This window comes from Homo sapiens, chromosome 12, assembly GCF_000001405.40.
Source record: "Homo sapiens chromosome 12, GRCh38.p14 Primary Assembly".
Taxonomy (NCBI): domain Eukaryota; kingdom Metazoa; phylum Chordata; class Mammalia; order Primates; family Hominidae; genus Homo; species Homo sapiens.
The window spans coordinates 115,086,607-115,105,658 of record NC_000012.12 but is presented as its reverse complement, the minus strand read 5'-3'; the positions used below and the strand labels follow the sequence as shown (position 1 = coordinate 115,105,658).

The 19,052-nt window shown below is 43.3% G+C and overlaps 1 long non-coding RNA gene across 1 annotated transcript in view; it reads right to left on the bottom strand.

Annotated features, from left to right (window-relative positions):
* Positions 1 to 420: 420 nt before the first annotated feature.
* Positions 421 to 19,052, bottom strand: part of LOC102723639 (uncharacterized) — a 92,097-nt gene continuing 73,465 nt past the window's right edge. The window contains exons 5-8 of the long non-coding RNA XR_007063588.1: positions 10,418 to 10,554; positions 10,016 to 10,108; positions 1,273 to 1,433; positions 421 to 790 (exon numbers count right to left, since the gene is read on the bottom strand). This is a non-coding gene — a long non-coding RNA (uncharacterized LOC102723639). The remainder of the gene's footprint in view (positions 791 to 1,272; positions 1,434 to 10,015; positions 10,109 to 10,417; positions 10,555 to 19,052) is intronic.

Here is a 19,052-nt window from a genome sequence, read left to right as displayed (position 1 = left end):
TCTTGGGCAAACATCTTCAATTCTCTGAGCTTCAGTATTATTATTCAGTAGCCCATGAAATGGGACTAATAATGTTTTACTCAGAGAGTCATTTTAAAAATACATCTTGGTAGTGATACATTTTCTTTCTTTTTTTTTTTTCTTTTTTTGAGACAGAGTCTCGAACTGTTGCCCAGGCTGGAGTGCAGTGGCGCGATCTCCGCTCACTGCAAGCTCCGCCTCCTGGGTTCACGCCATTCTCCTGCCTCAGTCTTCCGAGTAGCTGGGACTACAGGCGCCCGCCACCACGCCTGGCTAATTTTTTGTATTTTTAGTAGAGACGGGGTTTTACTGTGTTAGCCAGGATGGTCTCGATCTCCTGACCTCGTGATCTGCCCCCCTCGACCTCCCAAAGTGCTGGGATTACAGGCATGAGCCACCGTGCCAGGCATGTACTAATATATTTTCAGTACAAGTATAGATTATTCATTTTATCCACACCTCATTGTGTATGTTTGTATGAGTGTGGGTGGGGTGTGTGTGTGTTTGTGTGTGATTATGAATGATCAAAAAACTAAGACGAAGGGACTTTACGGACTCCAGTCATTGAAAATTCCAGAAGAATCACTTTCAGACAGAGCTGCGTTCATGGATTCAGATGAGACCAAGTCTTTTCCTTGTTCTGTACTCCAGCTTGGCTTCCCCTTGAGTATGCTCCATTCTGAGGGTGATGTTGAAGTGGCCGCTTCCAGCTTTCAGCAGACTTTTTTAAAAAACCACCTTATTGAAGCATGATCGACATAATAAAAACCTGTGTATATTTTAAATAGACACAGTTTGGGATAAGCATACACCCAGGAAATCCTCACCACCATCAAGTCAGCTGACTTCTTATGCTCTTAGCTGCAACCACCTGATAGCACATAACCCCCCTCTCAAGGGCTCAAAGAAAAAACTCAGTGTTGAGTCTCTGTTGACTCCAATTGGTCAGACTTGAGACACATGCTCATTCAGATCCAATCACTGGCCAGCAACACTCTGATTGTCTGGGCCTGAGAGGGTCACATGACATCCCTGGAACCCAATCTTCCAAGGACTGTGAATGTAGAAATCAACATTTTGTTAATAAAAGACTGAATATTGGACATGTACACTTTACAAAGGACAACTCGTGTGTGTGTGTGTGCATGTACAAATTTTCCTAGCTTATTACTTCATAGACATGTTTGGGTTTATTCCCACCTTAATCATTCTCATGGTCCTTCATGAATATAAGAAAGTTGCACCAAGTACCTGGTCCATGCAGTTCTCTCTGGGGCAGGCACTGCAACGTGGCGTCACCCAGGATCTTTAGCTCCAGTCTCTCCCTGGGAACTTAAGAAGAATGCCTTCTGCCTCTGCTGACTCAGCGGGTTGACAAAGACCTCTGACACCCGCCTGGCCTTTCCCGGAACCTTAAGAAGGAAGAAGAGAGAGCCTCAGAGGGCAGGTTTAAAATTAGAAGGGAGTGCAACACTGCTTGTGGTTCTTGAACGTCAGCCATTCGGGAGGAATGGGAGATAAGGTGGTCAAGAGACAGGAAGCATTTATTTAAGATTCCTATCACACTGGGAAGCTGGAGAGGGAGTTTAGTTCAGGGGAAGAACAGGATGTTGCCAGGATCTGGGGCAGGGCCAAGGGCAGGGGGGTATGGAGGGAACGGATATTGAAAAGAGGGAGCTAGTCAGCCAGGGTTTAAGGAGAGAAGGTTTGGAGAAGTCCCAAGCAGGAAGTCAGACAGGGAAGAGGCCCCTAAGGAGTTCAGGTCACTTCAGTTGCAAAAGGGAGATGGATCTTCTCTTGGAAGAACTTGGATCTCTTCGGTGAAGCCGATGTGTTTCTGGGTGGTCTCTTTGGGAGGGGACTCCATTTAACTCTTGCGTGAGCTCTTGGTTTGGTGTTCTCCCTGGTGTCTTTCTGCTGGTCTCCCAGCTTGGAGGCCACCACACTGACATTCTCTGAAGGGCACCACCCTGAAGTTCTGCCTTGACATTGAAGGCTACAGAAAGTTAAAAGTCACATTGGTTGCAGACCTTGTGGTCAATTTCCATCCCACATGCATGTGGGGGCATAGTGGTGAGTACAACCATTTCCCTTTTTTTCCCCTTAGGGAAAACACATAGTTTGTCCAGTCTTCAAAAAAGACCCTTAGCAAAACACAAATCTAGTGAAGAAAATCTATGAAAAGGTCATTTGCAAAATGGAAAAATACAAGCCACCAACACACACCAAAGAAAAAACTATAATCATAATTCAAATAACTCACAACTGCATTACTGTGGCAAGCCAGGTATTGCCATGAACCTTGGACATACATTAATTCATGTTAATCCTTTTGACAACCCTAAGAAGTATTTTCTTCATTTCATAATACAGTCCAATAAACCAAGACATGCAGGGGTTACGTCCCTTGTCTAAGATCACAGCTCCCAAGTGGCAGAGTTGGAAGGAAAGAGGATTGTATTAACGGCCTAATGGATAAAAGTCTGAGTTTGCAGCTGACAAAACTGGCTTTGGGAAAGTGACTTGACCTCTCTGAGCCTTAGCTTACCCAGTGCAGAAAGTGAGTATGAGATAGAACCCCCATCACGGAGTTGCAGAAAGGCTTTAGCAAGGTAGCATATGGTTAGCACAGTGCATTCGTATTTAGAAAAAGTGCAATAGACAGTCGACTTTTGTTATCCTTGATTTAGAGGTTCTACTATAGCAGCCCTCCCTGTCTACATCTGACAGGGATTATAAAGAGTCCATGCCTGAAAACAGAGGCCAGAAGCCTCAAAGAGTACGGCTGAGCTGTATCCCACCCTCACCCTCCTCTTCTGGCCTCTTCTGCAGACACAGCTGATAAGACCCCCGAGGGCACCTCCCACTCACCCACTAATCAACCCTCTGGGGAAGCATCTGGACCACAGGGGATGATCAATGACAGAGTAGTTGCTCAGCTCCACACCCACGGTCCATCTGGAGAGACACCCTTGGATTCAAGACTAAAGGCTTCCAGGAAAAGTGGCGAGGCTCAAGGTCATCGGTCAGTCAGTAACTGACCACCTTGCCTCTGGGGACAGTCTGGAGCTCGCACATGGACATTTGCCTTTCTTATTCCCAGGGGGAGTATCTGCTCCCTTTTGCTCTTTAAAGAAGCAGTCACACATTATTATTATTATTACTACTATGATTTTTGCTACCATTGATTGAATGTGCCCATGTTCAAGGCCCTATGCTAAATGCTTTACATGAATTTTCTCATTTTATCCTCTCTGTAACTCAAAGTGCTGGGGAGTATTTTTAGCCCTATTTTACAGCCTGCTCAGTTTCTTCTCAATCGCCTCAAGCTTCCTCTGCTGAAATGATCCTCTACCATCCATTTTTCAACTGACCTATTTTTTCAAGTAGGCAAGTTAGCTCCTCCAGTAAGCCTTCACTAACCATGGGCTAGGCTGGGTGACCTGTCGTGGTGCCCTCGTCCTTCTCCATCTTCACAGCACATTGCGTGTCTGTATTTACCCAACAATCCGAAATATTTGCTTACTGCTGGTCTCCTTCATGAGGTTATAAGATCTAAGAAAGAAGGGACTGTGCTTGTCTTATATTCTGTCTGCCTAGTATAATCACACATAGTGGCTTCCCCATGAAATATTTGTGGAAGGGTCTGATGAGACCACATTCAGATGAGTGGATTCAATTCTAGATACTCTTGCTTATTAAGGGAAAGAGGTGCACGTCACTTCTGGAGGTCTCTCCTGGAGAAACTCTTATATTTTTGCACAAGGAGACATATACAAGTATGTCCATTACAGAATAATTTATGATAGAAGAAATTGGAATCAATTGAGATGTCCATCAACAGGGGACTGGATACGTGCAGTGTTATGCATGCACATGTTTTAATACTGCAAGCAAAGTAGACAAACCAGAGTTATATGTGTCAACAGGGAGATTTCTGAGAATATGGAGAGAAAATTCTGTTTGCAAAGTGATTCATATCCCATCTATGACATTTAAAACACCCAAGAGGACCTCTATATTTTTAAGGGTTCATGTATAAGTATGGAAAATTATATTAAAATGAGAGTATATGCTCTGAGTTCATAATAGTATATTGTGTTTGTGTGGATAGCCTGGTTGAGAGCATAGAATTGGAACCAGGAGTATGCATAGAGAGGAGTTTAGCTTTACTGTGATATTCCAATGGTATTTAAAAGCTGTGCGTTCGGGTATTCATTGAGTAATTTTGAAAAGTGTAAAGATAAAAGAGAGACAGTTACAAAATATGCCAACATGTTCATAATGGTTTATTCCAGATGATAGAACTATGGGTGGGTCTTGGTTTCTTCTTCTTTTTTTTTTTTTGAATTTTTTTTTATGCTTTAAGTTCTGAGGTACATGTGCAGAATGTGCAGGTTTGTTACATAGGTATACATGTGCCATGGTGGTTTGCTGCACCTACCAACCCGTCATCAACATTAGGTGTTTCTCCTAATGCTATCCCTCCCCTAGCCCCCGACCCCCCGACAGGCCCCAGTGTGTGATATTCCCCTCCCTGTGTCCATGTGCTCTCATTGTTCAACTCCCAGTCATGAGTGAGAACATGTGGTGTTTGGTTTTCTGTTCTTGTGTTAGTTTGCTCAGAATGATGGTTTCTAGCTTCATCCATGTCCTCGCAAAGGACATGAACTCATCCTTTTTTATGGCTGCATAGTATTCCATGGTGTATATGTGCCACATTTTCTTTATCCAGTCTATCACTGATGGGCATTTGAGTTGGTTCCAAGTCTTTTCTATTGTGAACAGTGCCAATATAAACATATGAGTGCATCTGTCTTCATAGTAGAATGATTTATAATACTTTGGGTATATACCCAGTAATGGGATTGTTGGGTCAAATGATGTTTCTAGTTCTAGATCCTTGAGGAATCTCTACACTGTCTTCCACAATGGTTGAACTAATTTACATTCCCAACAACAACAGTAAAAGCATTCCTATTTCTCCACATCCACTCCAGCATCTGTTGTTTCCTGACTTTTTAATGATCGCCATTCTAACTGGCGTGAGATGGTATCTCATTATAATTTTGATTTGCATTTCCCTAAAGACCTGTGATGATGAGCTTTTTTTCATATGTTTGTTGGCCACATAAATGTCTTCTTTTGAGAATTGTCTGTTCATATCCTTTGCCCACATTTTGATGGGGTTGTTTGTTTTTTTCTTGTAAATTTGTTTCTTTGTAGATTCTGGATATTGGCCCTTTGACAGATGGATAGATTGCAAAAATTTTCTCCCATTCTGTAGGTTGCCTGTTCACTCTGATGATAGTTTCTTTTGCTGTGCAGAAGCTCTTTAGTTTAATTAGATCCCATTTGTCAATTTTGACTTTTGTTGACATTGCTTTTGGTGTTTTAGTTATGAAGTCTTTGCCCATGCCTATGTCCTGAATAGTATTGCCCAGGTTTTCTTCTAGGGTTTTTAGGGTTTTAGGTCTTAGGTTTAAGTCTTTAATCTATCTTGAGGTAATTTTTGTATAAGTTGTAAGGAAGGGGTCCAGTGTCAGTTTTCTGCATATGGCTAGCCAGTTTTCCCAACATCATTTATTAAATAGGGAATCCTTTCCCCATTGCTTGTTTTTTTCACGTTTGTCAAAGATCAGATGGTTGTAGATGTGTGGTGTTCTTTCTGAGGGCTGTGTTCTGTTTCATTGGTCTATATATCTGTTTTGGTACCAGTCCCATGCTGTTTTGGTTACTGTAGCCTTGTAATATAGTTTGAAGTCAGGTAGCGTTATGCCTCCAGCTTTGTTCTTTTGGCTTAGGATTTTCTTGGCTATATGGGCTCTTTTTTGGTTCCATATGAAAATCAAAGTAGTTTTTTCTAATTCTGTGAAGAAAATCAATGGTAGTTTGATGGGGATAGCACTGAATCTATAAATTACTTTGGGCAGTATGGCCATTTTCACAATATTGATTCTTCCTATCCATGAGCATGGAATGTTTTCCCATTTGTTTGTGTCCTCTCTTATTTCTTGAGCAGTGGTTTGTAGTTCTCCTTGAAGAGGTCCTTCACATCACTTGTAAGTTGTATTCCAAGTTGTATTCCAAGGTATTTTATTCTCTTTGTAGCAATTGTGAATGGGAGTTCAATCATGATTTGGCTCTCTGTCTGTTATTGGTGTATAGGAATGCTTGTGAGTTTTGCATATTGATTTTGTATCCTGAGACTTTGCTGAAGTTGCTTATCAGCTTAAGGAGATTTGGGGCTGAGACGATGGGGTTTTCTAAATATACAATCATGTCATCTGCAAATAGAGACAATTTGACTTCCTCTCTTCCTATTTAAATACCCTTTATTTCTTTCTCTTGCCTGATTGCCCTGGCCAGAATGTCCAATACTATGTTGAATAGGAGTGGTGAGAGAGGGCATCCTTGTCTTCTGCCAGTTTTCAAAGGGAATGCTCTCAGTTTTTGCCCATTTAGTATGATATTGGCTGTGGGTTTGTCATAAATAGCTCTTATTATTTTGAGATATGTTCCTTTTTTTTTTTTTTTTTTTGAGACAGAGTCTCACTCTGTTGCCCAGGCTGGAGTGCAGTGGCGCGATCTCGGCTCACTGCAACCTCCACCTCCCAGGTTCAAGCTATTCTCCTGCCTCAGCCTCCCAAGTAGCTGGGACTACGGGCACTTGCCACCACACCTGGCTAATTTTTTGTATTTTTAGTAGAGACAGGGTTTCACCATGTTAGCTAGGATGGTCTCAATCTCTTGACCTCATGATCCACCTGCCTCGGTCTCCCAAAGTGCTGGAATTACAGGCGTGAGCCACTGTGCCCAATCTTTTTTGAATGTTTTAATCTCAGAGAGGGTAGGAGGGACATAGCGAGGGAGGAAATGGGGAAGAAGGAAAGAAGGAAGGAAAAAAGAAAGGAAGGAAAGAAAGAAGGAAGGGAGGGAGGGAGGGAGGGAGGCAGGAAGGCAGTCAGGAAGGCAGGAAGGCAGGAAGGAAGGAAAGGAGGGAGGGAGGAAAGGAAAGGAAAGGAGAGGAGAGAGCAATAAGAGTTTGTATAACAGAGAATTTGGGAAGTAAGGAACTGGGAAACTGAGGCAGATTAGTAATAGTTGTGGAAACAGAGGTTTTTGGTTCAGAAAAGTTTCAAACCCCACCTTCACATATTCTCTGGGGGAGAAAATAGAGCAAATTAAAGACGCTAAAGATACAGCAGATTTCAGCACAATATAATAGAAAGAAATTCTCATTAAAGACTTTCGGATAAATTTTAATTACCTAAACATATAGTAACTTATCTTCCTTTAAAATATCATTTAATGCTACAAATAAGTTTGGAGCCTTCTTCTCTCCCTGCTCCCCCAGAAGTATCTATTGTCAATTTGTTAATTACCTTTGTAGAACTTTTCAAACACCTTTGCACCCATGTCTTTACCATAGAAAATATATAGCTTGGTTTTTTGTTGCTCTAAGCATGAATAGTCTTACTACACTGTACTAAATTTTCAGCAGCATGCTCTTTTTATTCATCATTGTTTCTCTGAGATTTCTCCATAGGGATACATTATAGACTTAGTATGTTCTTTTTTATGACTATATAATGTTCCATTGAAGGAATATTTTACTTTTTTGGCATCACTGCTTTATTGGGAGATATACAGGTTGGTTCCGATTTTTTTGCTAATACAGTGTAGCTGTGAAACCCTCTTTACCCTCCTCCCGCATCTCTGTAAGGGTGTACTTGCTGGACAGTAGGAAGAGCACGTTTTCAATTTTAATACATCCTGTCATCAATTTGCCCAAAGGAGTGATAAATAATGATGAGATATCTGGGACTAGACTAAACCACCTTGCAGGAATAAGTTCCTCATCTCTGCAAGTGTCCAAGCATTGGCTGGACAGCTCTTGGCGTGACTATTGTGAAGGGTTTGCTGGCCCTAAATAACCATCAAGGTCTCAGCCAACAGAATAATGCTATGATCTCGCATCTCCCTGCAGCGGAACCTCCACTTCATACAACTCACGCCAAGATCTCCAGCTGCAGTGATGAGGAAAAGTCATATTTTCTGCAAATTTGGAAGAGCTATCAGGGACATGTTTGTCAAACCACATGTTTCTTGTTCCAATTGTGTTATATTTTATTCTAGCTGAGGACATCATCGCTAAATCCCTCATGTTTTGTTGGAGATTGGAATGAGTAGGCTTGGGTCCAAATCCTAAATCTGTACCAAGTAGCTGTAAGATCTTGGGCATGTTTTTTGACTTCCCCATGCATCAGGGTTTTTTGTCCATAGAGTGGGAAAATCCATACCCCTATTTCATGCTTGTTTTGATGATTCCATTGGTTGGTGGATGAAATGTGCCTAACATATAAGCCCATCTTCTAACTGTTGTTACTAATGGCTGCTGAGTTTATTACCCTGAGTGGTTGGGGGGTGCAGGGTGCTTGTCACCACACAAACTGGCTGTCTTAGAGATGCAGAGGTTGGGAGAAGTCTTTGCCCTTGGACAGGAAGGAGATTCAAGGTTTAACCAATCCATGGCACTCATTGCAGTGGCCAGCAAAACACTTTGTTCAGCATTTTATCTTTTTCAAAGCATATCTATTATCTCATCTGTTCATCAAAGGCCCCTGCAAGGAAGTCCAACAGAGGATAGGCCCAAGGAGAGATGACTCAGGAATCTGAAAGTCAAGGCCAGAAGCTTCTCTGACAAGCAGCTCATTGGACTGATTTTATCCGCTGATCTTGGCCTGGGAGGAGTGTTAGGCTGTCCAGGCCAGGCCTGAAATACACACAGAGAGACTTCCTTTTCCCTGACCGTGGACTGCACTCCTAAGCCTAGCCAGATGGGCTGCAGATGTGAGCTCTGGGCTGCAAGGGAGGCTGGGAGAATGGACAAGACTCATACCCTTGCATGGGATTCTAAGTCCCAATCCAGGTCCCACAGTACCATAGGAGCATCATGCTGGGATCTTGTGTCTCTCTCTGAGTTCAAATTTACAGAGTTTTGGACTCAGGAAGGTGATGCTGGAGATATTGTCATGCTTCTGCAATGCTGGTAGCTGTGTCAAAGAACATCTCCGGCAACAGCCATCACATCTTGCAGCCTTCAGGTCAGCTTGGAAAGAAGCCACAGCCTCGTTTCATTCCTGCAGCCCTAGCAAGCGCTGGAAAGCTATGAGGTTGCTGAATGCCTTCTTCCAGCGCATTTCAGGTCCTCCCTTGCCTCCTCCTTCTTTGGCCTATTCCAAAGTTCAAGATCCCTTCCCTCAATGCTATAGCTTCAGCATAGCCATTGTTGACTTTTATCTCAAGGGACCAATTGCCACTGTCAACTCATTCAGAGTGGAACTGTTTGGAGTTCTGCTTTGGAAATCATAATTCCCTATCTCCAAGAGAGGCCTCAGGAACTTTACTTCTGGACATGGTTGAGGAAAGTTTCCTGGCTCGGCCAGACCTGGGTTTTGCCATCCATGGCTGTGTGACTTTGCAAAAATCATCTCACCTCTCTGATCTCAGGATTCTCTTTAGTGGAAAGTGGGGAATCATCCCTACCTCGCAGGGCCATTGGGAGGATGAAAGAAAACTCATTGAAATGCCTGCTATAGTGCCTAGCATGGAGTCCGTGTTTCTTTAGGGGTAGCTACTGTTGCTCTGGTTATTATTGTCCTTGTTGGTAGGGTACTGCAGAGCAGCAGCCTCTCTTCCTTCCTCAGCCAGATAGTCATATAGTCAGATGGACCTGCATTCTACTCTCAGCATCCCCTTACTAGCTGTGTGGACTCAAAAGAGCTACTTAGCTTCTCTGAGCCTGCCTCGGTTTCCTTATATGTAAAGAGAAGTTTAGAAAGTTTAATCCACTTCTCTAAAATCACGTATCCACTAAGGAATTTCAACTTAAACCTGTTAAGTTCAAGGCGCTGAATTGCTTAATTATTACACATGAATATTTTGATCATGTTTATTAATATTTCCCTTCACTATTTTTCTTAAACCTGACCTGGAAGGAGGACTATCTGAAAATCATCTCTTCTTCGGATTCGAAAGTTCTGTCTCAAAGTCCAGGTCCAGCCCAGCAGGCTATCACTTTCCTCTGCAAAATAAATAAATAAGTAAATAAATGAATGCAAGCAAGTAAGCAGCCTAAAATAAACCATAGGAGAGCGGTTTGGGGATTCTCTGGAAATATTCTCAAAAGGAGGATTTGAAGAAGGCAACTGGGATTTGCCCAACTCCAGAAAGGACCTTGATAAAATCTGCACATCAAAGGAAGCAAAAGGCTTCAAAAGGCAGGCTCTGCGTTCTGCCCTTTCTGCCTCCTGGCATGGCTAACTGGTTCACCTGCCGCCAAAGCCAGAGGTTGAAGAGCAGGGAGCTAGGGGTTTTGTGGCAGGCACCTCACCGCAGTCAAGAGAGTGTCTCTGGAGGCTTGCACAGCTGGCTGGGCTTTTCCAACCTTTCGTTCCCCAGCTCTGGGATCTTCACCTGGGCTCCAAACATCCAATAGCTCTGTGGATGGAATTCAGGGCACTCGTGAACCTGGACAGAAAGAAAATACGTCATATCTTTGTTGACCAGCCTCAAACTGAAATTAAGTATTTCTTTCTGTTAATTCTGAATATAGGCAACATATATGTAGCAGGATTTGGGAACCTTTGTGACTTTGTCACCAATAAATATCACTGATATTGGCATATCACATCACATATGTCACAGATAACTTGATGTACTTTAACCTCATGACACCTCTGCCATCGTGGTTGTTATTAGATCTGCTGCTGGGACTTGATATTTCACGAGTTGAAAAAGAAGCACAAATATCACCATATTACAATTTCTTTCCTATTTGATAACTGTACTTCAATGCAGTTGATTTCTTTAGTAATCTTATTTAACTATCTTATTTTACGTATTTTAAAACACTATTCTGAGAAGGGATCCCGAGACTTCAGTAGACTGCCAAAAGTCTATGGTGTGTATACACACACACACACATGCACACGCAATATCAGAACCCCTGTAGAACAGCTGATAAACTTTCAGCCTTGGTTTTCTTATCAGTGAAATGGTTCTTAGAATCCTTTCAGTGCATTTGTGAACAACACCTGTACCCATGTGTGTAAAAGTGCCCGGCACATGGGAAATACTCAATAAATGCTAACCTCCCTCTTTCCTCTTGAAGGTCACCTGCATACGACCTTGGGCCAAGAAGTAGTGTATTTACTACCTGCCTTCCATGGCCTCCCTTGAAGGGCTGCTTGCTACTCACTGGCTCACATTTATCCCCCCCGAATAAAATGCCCCTCCCACACTGCCATGACACACATCCAGTAAGAGGGAGCTTGACAAGATCACAAATATTTGAACAATCCTTGGGGTAACACAGGGCAATGACCCCAAAGTACGTGCTGCACCGGCTGAAAGTTTATCCTAGAATGACAAACGTGACAACTCACAAAGTGAGGGGGGAAAGGGCCAGATAAGATAAAAAGCACCTACAGAGCCTAAGGCACACCTCGTGCAAGGAGGAAGAAATTCGGCACTGAGTGGCATCAGGGGAGTAAGACCACCAAGTCAAATAGTCTATTTTCTAGAAAGTTCCCAGCATCTGGGGTATAGTATAGACAGTTCATGTAAATGCAGCTTTGTAGCTGTGTGACCCTGGGTAAGATGTTGACCTTCCTGTGTGGCTAGGAAAAATCAGAGAGATGGCTGTAAAGCACTGATATGCTCTTTGAACAGAGTAAGCCTTCAGAAAATGATGCTATTATTGTTCTTATTACTAACATTATTATGTTAATATATAAAGTTGCTAATATCCAAGACTCAGTAGTCAGAGAGCCCACTTCAGCAATTAAAACTATATACCCTTGGGCCACTTTAAGTTTTTGTGTCTTGGTCTTTTCATTGCGATATGGAATAGCATTAGTATCTTGTAGGGTGGTTGTGGGAATTAATTGGGATAATATATAAACTGGGCTTAGGCTGGAGCCTGACACAGAACAAACACAGATTAAGTGTTAGCTATAAATATTATTAGCATCATAAATCATTACAGTCTGGACATAGAGAAATGGAGTCATTGGAAAGAAACAAATGAAAAAGAGAATTTCTTGGTGAGATAGAGATCTGGACCAAGGGTAGGCAAACCATTCCCCACCTGATTCTGTAAATAAAGTTTTATTGGAACACAGCCATGCCCATTCATTTATGCATTGTCTGTGGCTGCCTTCACACACAGCGGCAGAGCTGGGTAGTTGCAACAGGGACTTTATGGACCACAAAGCTGAAATATTTACTATTTGGTCCTTCAGGAAAAGTTTGTCTCCTCATGTGGAGAAATGGTGGTATCTTGACAAGATGCCCCATGGGGATGCTAATGAGACATTTGACATAAGCTAATTATTATTTTTCTGTGTTGGTGTATTATACAACTGGGAAGAATAACATCCTTTCTTCTATCCACCCATGTGTATATCTATCTACTCATCTATTTATATTCAAAAAACATTCAGACACTGTCCTAGGTGTTAGGGATGGAGAAATGAGCTAAGTCTATCTGGGCAGGTGACAAGTGAATGAGTAATTGCAATTCAGTGCAGCAGATATTGGAAATCAATCAGGGCTAATCCACCGCATGGTTTGTGTGAATTAGAAAAATGTGAAAAAGGTATTCCCTTGGAGCAGTCAGGACTTGGTGAATCAATGGATCTCATCCCCCATTGGCCACTTTGGCCAGACCATTTGCACAGTGCCCAACCTGCACAACTTTATATGGCAGTCCTGAGAGCAGTCACTACAGTGTGCAAGTGGGATTGAGAAGGGCAAAGTCACATTAGGGAGGAATCCAGGGTAGAGGTGTCAAGTGAGACTTCATGAAGTAGGAAATGAGAGCTGAGTCTTGAGAGGGGAATAGAGGACGAGGGAGATAAATGGGATGGGACAGGGGATAGGGAAGACATTCTCAGGTAAAGAAAAGTACTTGAGTAGACAGGGGGGCCAGGATGAAAGTGGGAAGGGTCTGGTGGGTACTGACCCTGCAGAGAGCGCAGTGTGGTTACAGCATGAATTGCTGCAGGGATAATTTCAGACCCCATCAACTCAACTCCCCTCTATTTTACATTCTGATCATAACTCAAATCTGCTCACTTCTCTCTAATGCTACCATCACCTTCTGGACAAGACCTCAAGAACTCCCACCCTGATGACTGCCAAAGTCATCTCAATGGTCCCACCAACACGTCTCCTGCTGTACAGCCAGAGGGATCATTCTGAAGTCAATCTGATGATGATTCTTCCCTGCCCTAGCACCTGCCATGGCTCCTCCGTGCTCACAGATCAAATCCACACTGCTTAATGTGCAATCCAAGAGTGTTTCTGGTCCAATCTCTGCTTAGTCCATTTTCATACTGCTATAAAGAACAGCCTGAGGCCAGACGTGGTGGCTCACATCTGTTATCCCAGCACTTTGGGAGGCAGGAAGGTGGATCACGAGGTCAAGAAATCGAGACCATCCTGGCCAACATAGTGAAACTCTGTCACTACTAAAAATACAAAAAAATTAGCTGGGCGTGGTGGCGCGTGCCTGTAGTCCCAGCTACTAGGGAGGCTAAGGCAGAAGAATCCCTTGAACCCAGGGGTGGTAGAGGTTGCAGTGAGCTGAGATTGCGCCACTGCACTCCGGCCTGGCGACAGAGGGAGACTCCTTCTGAAAAAAGAAAAAAAAAAAAAAAAAGAACTGCCGGAGACTGGGTAATTCATAAAGGAAAGAGGTTTAATTGACTCATAGTTCAGCATGGCTGGGGAGGCCTCAGGAAACTTCACAATCATGGCTGAAGGTGAAGGGGAAGAAAGAAACTTCTTCACAAGGCAGCAGGAAGGAGAAGTGCTGAGCAATTGGGAAGAGCCCCTTATAAAACCATCAGATCTCATGAGAACTCACTCACTATCATGAGAACAGCATGGGGAAACCACCCCCCTGATCCAGTCACCTCCCACCAGGTCCCTCCTGTGACGCGTGGGGATTACAATTCAGATGACAACATGAGATGAGATTTGGGTGGGGACACAGCCAAACCATACCACCTTTCCCCAAAAATACTTCCCCAGAGATCCTTTTTCTTTATACTTTCATAAGTTAGAATTCCTGGTTCTTTCCTTTTGTACAAATCAGCCAAGTAAACAGTTTTATATAAATATATATCCTCAAGTAAACACTATATAGATACTTCTTTCAACATATAAGCATTTTATATATATAATGTTTATATATATGGTGTTTGCATATACAAAAGTATAGATATAGACACAGAAATAGATGTAGTTATAGATATAGATTGCACGCCACCTTGGTTCAGGGAAGGCCACCTAGAAACCTCGTCACTGGTCTCCCAGCTTTTGTCTTTGCCCTTCTGTAGTCTCCAAAAAGCAACCAGAGGGATTTTATTACAACCTAAGTCAGATCATGTCACTCTTCTGGTCAAAACTTTCCCACACTGTCTGTCTCACTCAGAGTAGAAGCTAAAATCCCTTCAATAGTCCACAAAGCCCTTCAAAATCTGGCCTAAATTATTTCTCCAACTTCATCTCTCACTGGCTTCTCGCTCATTTCACACCACTCCACTTTTAATAGGCTTCCTGCATTCCTCAAGCATTCCAGGCACAATTCCATCTCCGGACCTTTGCACTGGCTGTTCCCGCTTCCTGGAAGACCCTTCCCACAGATCTCTGTGTGACATTCTCTCTCTCTCTCTCTTTTTTCTCAACCCCCTTCAAGACTGCTTAAATGTTGCCCTCTCATAGACATTTTCTGTTATAACCACGTTTACAATGGCAAACCATTCCTAAACTTTTAACTTTTTTCTTTTTTTTTTTTGAGACGGAGTCTCACACTGTCACCAGGCTGGAGTGCAGTGGCGTGATCTCAGCTCACTGCAACCTCTATCTCCTGGGTTCAAGCGATTCCCCTGCCTCAGCCTCCTGAGTAGCTGGGATTATAGGCACCCGCCATCATCCCTGGCTAATTTTTTGTATTTTAGTAGAGATGGGGTTTCACCATGTTGGCCAGGATGGTCTTGATCTCCTCACCTCGTGATTTGCCTGCATTGGCCTCCCCAAAGTGCTGGGAATACAGGCGTGAGCCACCGCGCTCAGCCTTTTTTTTGTTTTGTTTTGTTTTTTTTGAGATGGAGTCTTGCTCTGTCTCCCAGGCTAAAGTGCAGTGGCGCGTTCTTGGCTCACTGCAACCTCTGCCTCCAGGGTTCAAGTGATTTTCCTGCCTCAGTCCTACTGAGTGCCTGAGACTACAGGTGTGTGAGACCATTCAGTAGTATTTTCATTCTACTGAAAATACAATAATTTTTTGTATTTTCAGTAGAGACAGAGTTTCACCATGTTGGCCAGGCTGGTCTCCAACTCCTGGCCTCAAAGTGACCCACCCACCTCAGCCTCCCAAAGTGCTGGGATTAGAGGCCTGAGCCACCATGCCCAGTCACTTTTGTTTCTTTATTGCACATGTTACCATACCTTATAATTAATTATTATTCTTTTAAAATCTGTTTCTATTGCCTTGAAAGTTCCATGAGAGCAAGGATTTATGTCTTTTTTGTTTACTGTAATATCCACAGCAACTAGATTAAACCATGGCACATAATACATGCTCAGTTAATACTCGGGAAATGAATGAATCCCCTCCTTTAATGCAGTCAGTATACCTTTATTAGTGCATTTATAGATCCCTTCGATGTATTTGTTAGCCACGTCACACTATGAATATACACTGATGTTTTAGTTGCCTCAAACCTTACAGTTTTTGTTTCTTGGTCTGTGTTACTTACCATTGTAATGATTTAGGACAAATTTCTGTGCTCCCAGAAGCCAGCAGTGCAGACAGAGTTAACTTGAAGACTGAGCACCCCACTGGGTGTCCCAGAGACCCTCCTCTTGTCCTGACTTGTTGACTGGCCACCTTTTTTGGGTTTGTTATAGTTTGTTTACCTTGGACTGTGCTTTCTCCCTGCAGTTTGCTGCCCTGGGCCTCTGGTTTGAAGTCAGCCGCCCAATGGCCTCGACACCGTCACCTCGCCTCCAGCCACGGGCCATGCTCCACACGCCACCGACACTTTGGCCAGGGGGAGGGGAGAGATGGCTTAATCATTGCAGGCCAACACCCAGCCTGGATCTGCCTGATGGACAACAGTATTGATAGTCTAGCTGACCCTTGTTCGACAAGCTGACATTCCCCGTATTTCACAGGCCGACGCTGGACGTGCATCAAAGAGACTGTCAGGTCACCAAACAGCTAATTAAAGCAATAAAGAGTCAGGAAGGCTAAATGGCCCCTTTCCTCCTCAGGAGCCTAAGGTCCCTTGTAGGAACCTGCATGGTTCCTTCTTCCCTGGAAGTGCAGTCCAAGATGGAGAGGATATTGGGGAATGTCCCAGCAAGCCCTCGGATCAGAAAAAGGATGAAGGTAAGTTCCAGACACTGGGTTCCTATCCTGCTCTTGACCCAGCCCCACCTCCACCATTATTTCCATTTTTAGGAGTTCAATATGAGTGTGCAAACTAGAGTCCCCAAAGCTCATTCCTCTGGGAGGAGTGTTTGAATAGAGACCACCTGGATTCTGGTGGCATTGATCTTTACCAGGTCTACATGACCAAGGAGTGGGATTGAAGGTGTTCACAGGGCCCATTCACCCTGACCACTTTGGCAGTAGAAAGAGTAACAAATTTGTAGTCAGACGCCCTGGGCATGAACCCAAGCTCTGTCACATGCTAGCTGGATGGCCTTGGCTTAGTTCCTTAGCCACTCAGCCTTGGTTTCATCATCTCTAAAAGGCAGATGAGAGTAAGGTCAATATTGGAGAATTGTTGCAAAGATTAAACCAGTGATTCTTAACCCCAGCCCTACATGGAAATCATTTTAAGTGTTCTGGAACACAGCTTTGTCCAGGCTCCCTAAGGCCAGTGGATTCAGAATCTCTGGGGCTGGGTCTTGGGTGTCTTCTGTCTTTAAAAAAATCTCTTTGGATGAGTCTTACATGCAGACAGGGCTAAAAATCGCCAGATTGAATGATATAAAATGATCGCTGAGCTCACACCAGGACTGGCACATAGTAGGGGCTTTGTGAAGACTAATCTTCTTCTCCCTGGCACCTGCTGTCTCTAAACTTCACTTGGAATTGCTTTAAGGGAAGTACATGAGAGTTGACATTAAGCAGCTGTCCCCAAACATTGCTTTTATCTTGAGGACCTCTACTGCTCAGTTATGAATAGGACCCAGTTTCTCTTTCTTCCCTGAAGACTGTTCCACCCAGGCCTTTTCTATAATTCTGTGTTATCATCTCTCAGGACCTTTGTTGACATATCCCCAAGAAGCTACTGGCATTGAGTCTGATATATGGCATCAATTTCCTCCAATTCCTAGTTCAAATGTCACAATGTCACTACAGCCCTGCTGAGGGGACCTGAATCACACCTCCGTGTATTAGGTGGCCAACTTGAGAAAAATCTATATTGGACCAGAATGGAAAACATGGCAGTGACATATCTGCAAACAAGTGTCGCACAGACAGTTCACCACCGAGAAAGGTGTTGACTTCATATTTTATGTATCTAATCTCAGAGAATTTTTAAAAGAGTGAAAATAAAAATGTATTGAGGTGCTAATACAATGATATTATAGTGATTTATCCAGGCCTTATGCACATGGCCTTCTCTGTAGACTTGGGTGGGACATTTTGCCTCTCTGTACCTCAGTTTCTTCATCTGTAAAATGGACATATTAGTGATATCTCCCACGTAGTGTTGTTTGTTTGAGGACCAAATGATATACTGCACATGAAGTAGTTAAAATAAGGTCTGCCACCATATACACCATGGAATACTAAGCAGCCATAAAAAAGAATGAGTTCATATCCTTTGCAGGGACATGGATGAAGCTGGAAACCATCATCCTCAGCAAACTAACACAGGAACAGAAAACCAAACACTGCATGTTCTCACTCATAAGTGGGAGTTGAACAATGAGAACATATGGGCACAGGGAGGAGAACATCACACACTGGGACAGGTCAAGGGGCAGGAGGCAAGGGGAAGGAGAGCATTAGGACAAATACCTAATGCATGAGGGGCTTAAAACATAGATGACGGGTTGGTAGGTGCAGCAAACCACCATGGCACATGTATACCTATGTAACAAACCTGCACGTTCAGCACACGTATCCCAGAACTTAAAGTAAAATTAAAAAAAAAAAAGGCCTGCTACATAATTAGATCTCCATAAAGGAAGAGATGATTATTGCTATTATTCAACACATTTCTACTGGATGCCTCCTATAGGCCAGTCAATATGAAGAACTAAGAGGTAGAAAGAGGAAGAAGACAGAGACCCCAGATTTGCCAACTTTATGTTCTTGTTGAGGAGACAGATGCATAGAGAGAGAATATTATTACAGATCAGCCATATTTACTATGGGTCTCCTGTCTGCTCGTACTGGCCTAAGATCTTGAGACACATCAGTGAACAAAACAGACAAATTTCCTTGCCTTCCAGGTGGTTATATTCTATCAGGGATAGATTCCTTAAGGAAATTCATTAATGACTCATTAATGATGTCCTTAATGAATCCTTAAGGAGATTAATTAACAAAAAATAAATAGATAAAACATATAATATGTTAGAAGGGGATCCCAGGTGGTTATATTTTAGCAGGGAGACAGAGATTCTCTAAGAAAAATAAGGGGCCGGGCACAGTGGCTCACGCCTGTAATCCCAGCACTTTGGGAGGCCGAGGCGGGTGGATCACGAGGTCAGGAGATCGAGACCATCCTGGCTAACATGGTGAAACCCCGTCTCTACTAAAAATACAAAAAATTAGCTGGGTGTGGTGGCGGGTGCCTGTAGTCCCAGCTGCTCGGGAGGCTGAGGCAGGAGAATGGCATGAACCTGGGAGGCGGAGGTTGCAGTGAGCCGAGATTGCTCCACTGCACTCCCGCCTGGGCGACACAGCCAGACTCCGTCTCGAAAAAAAAAAA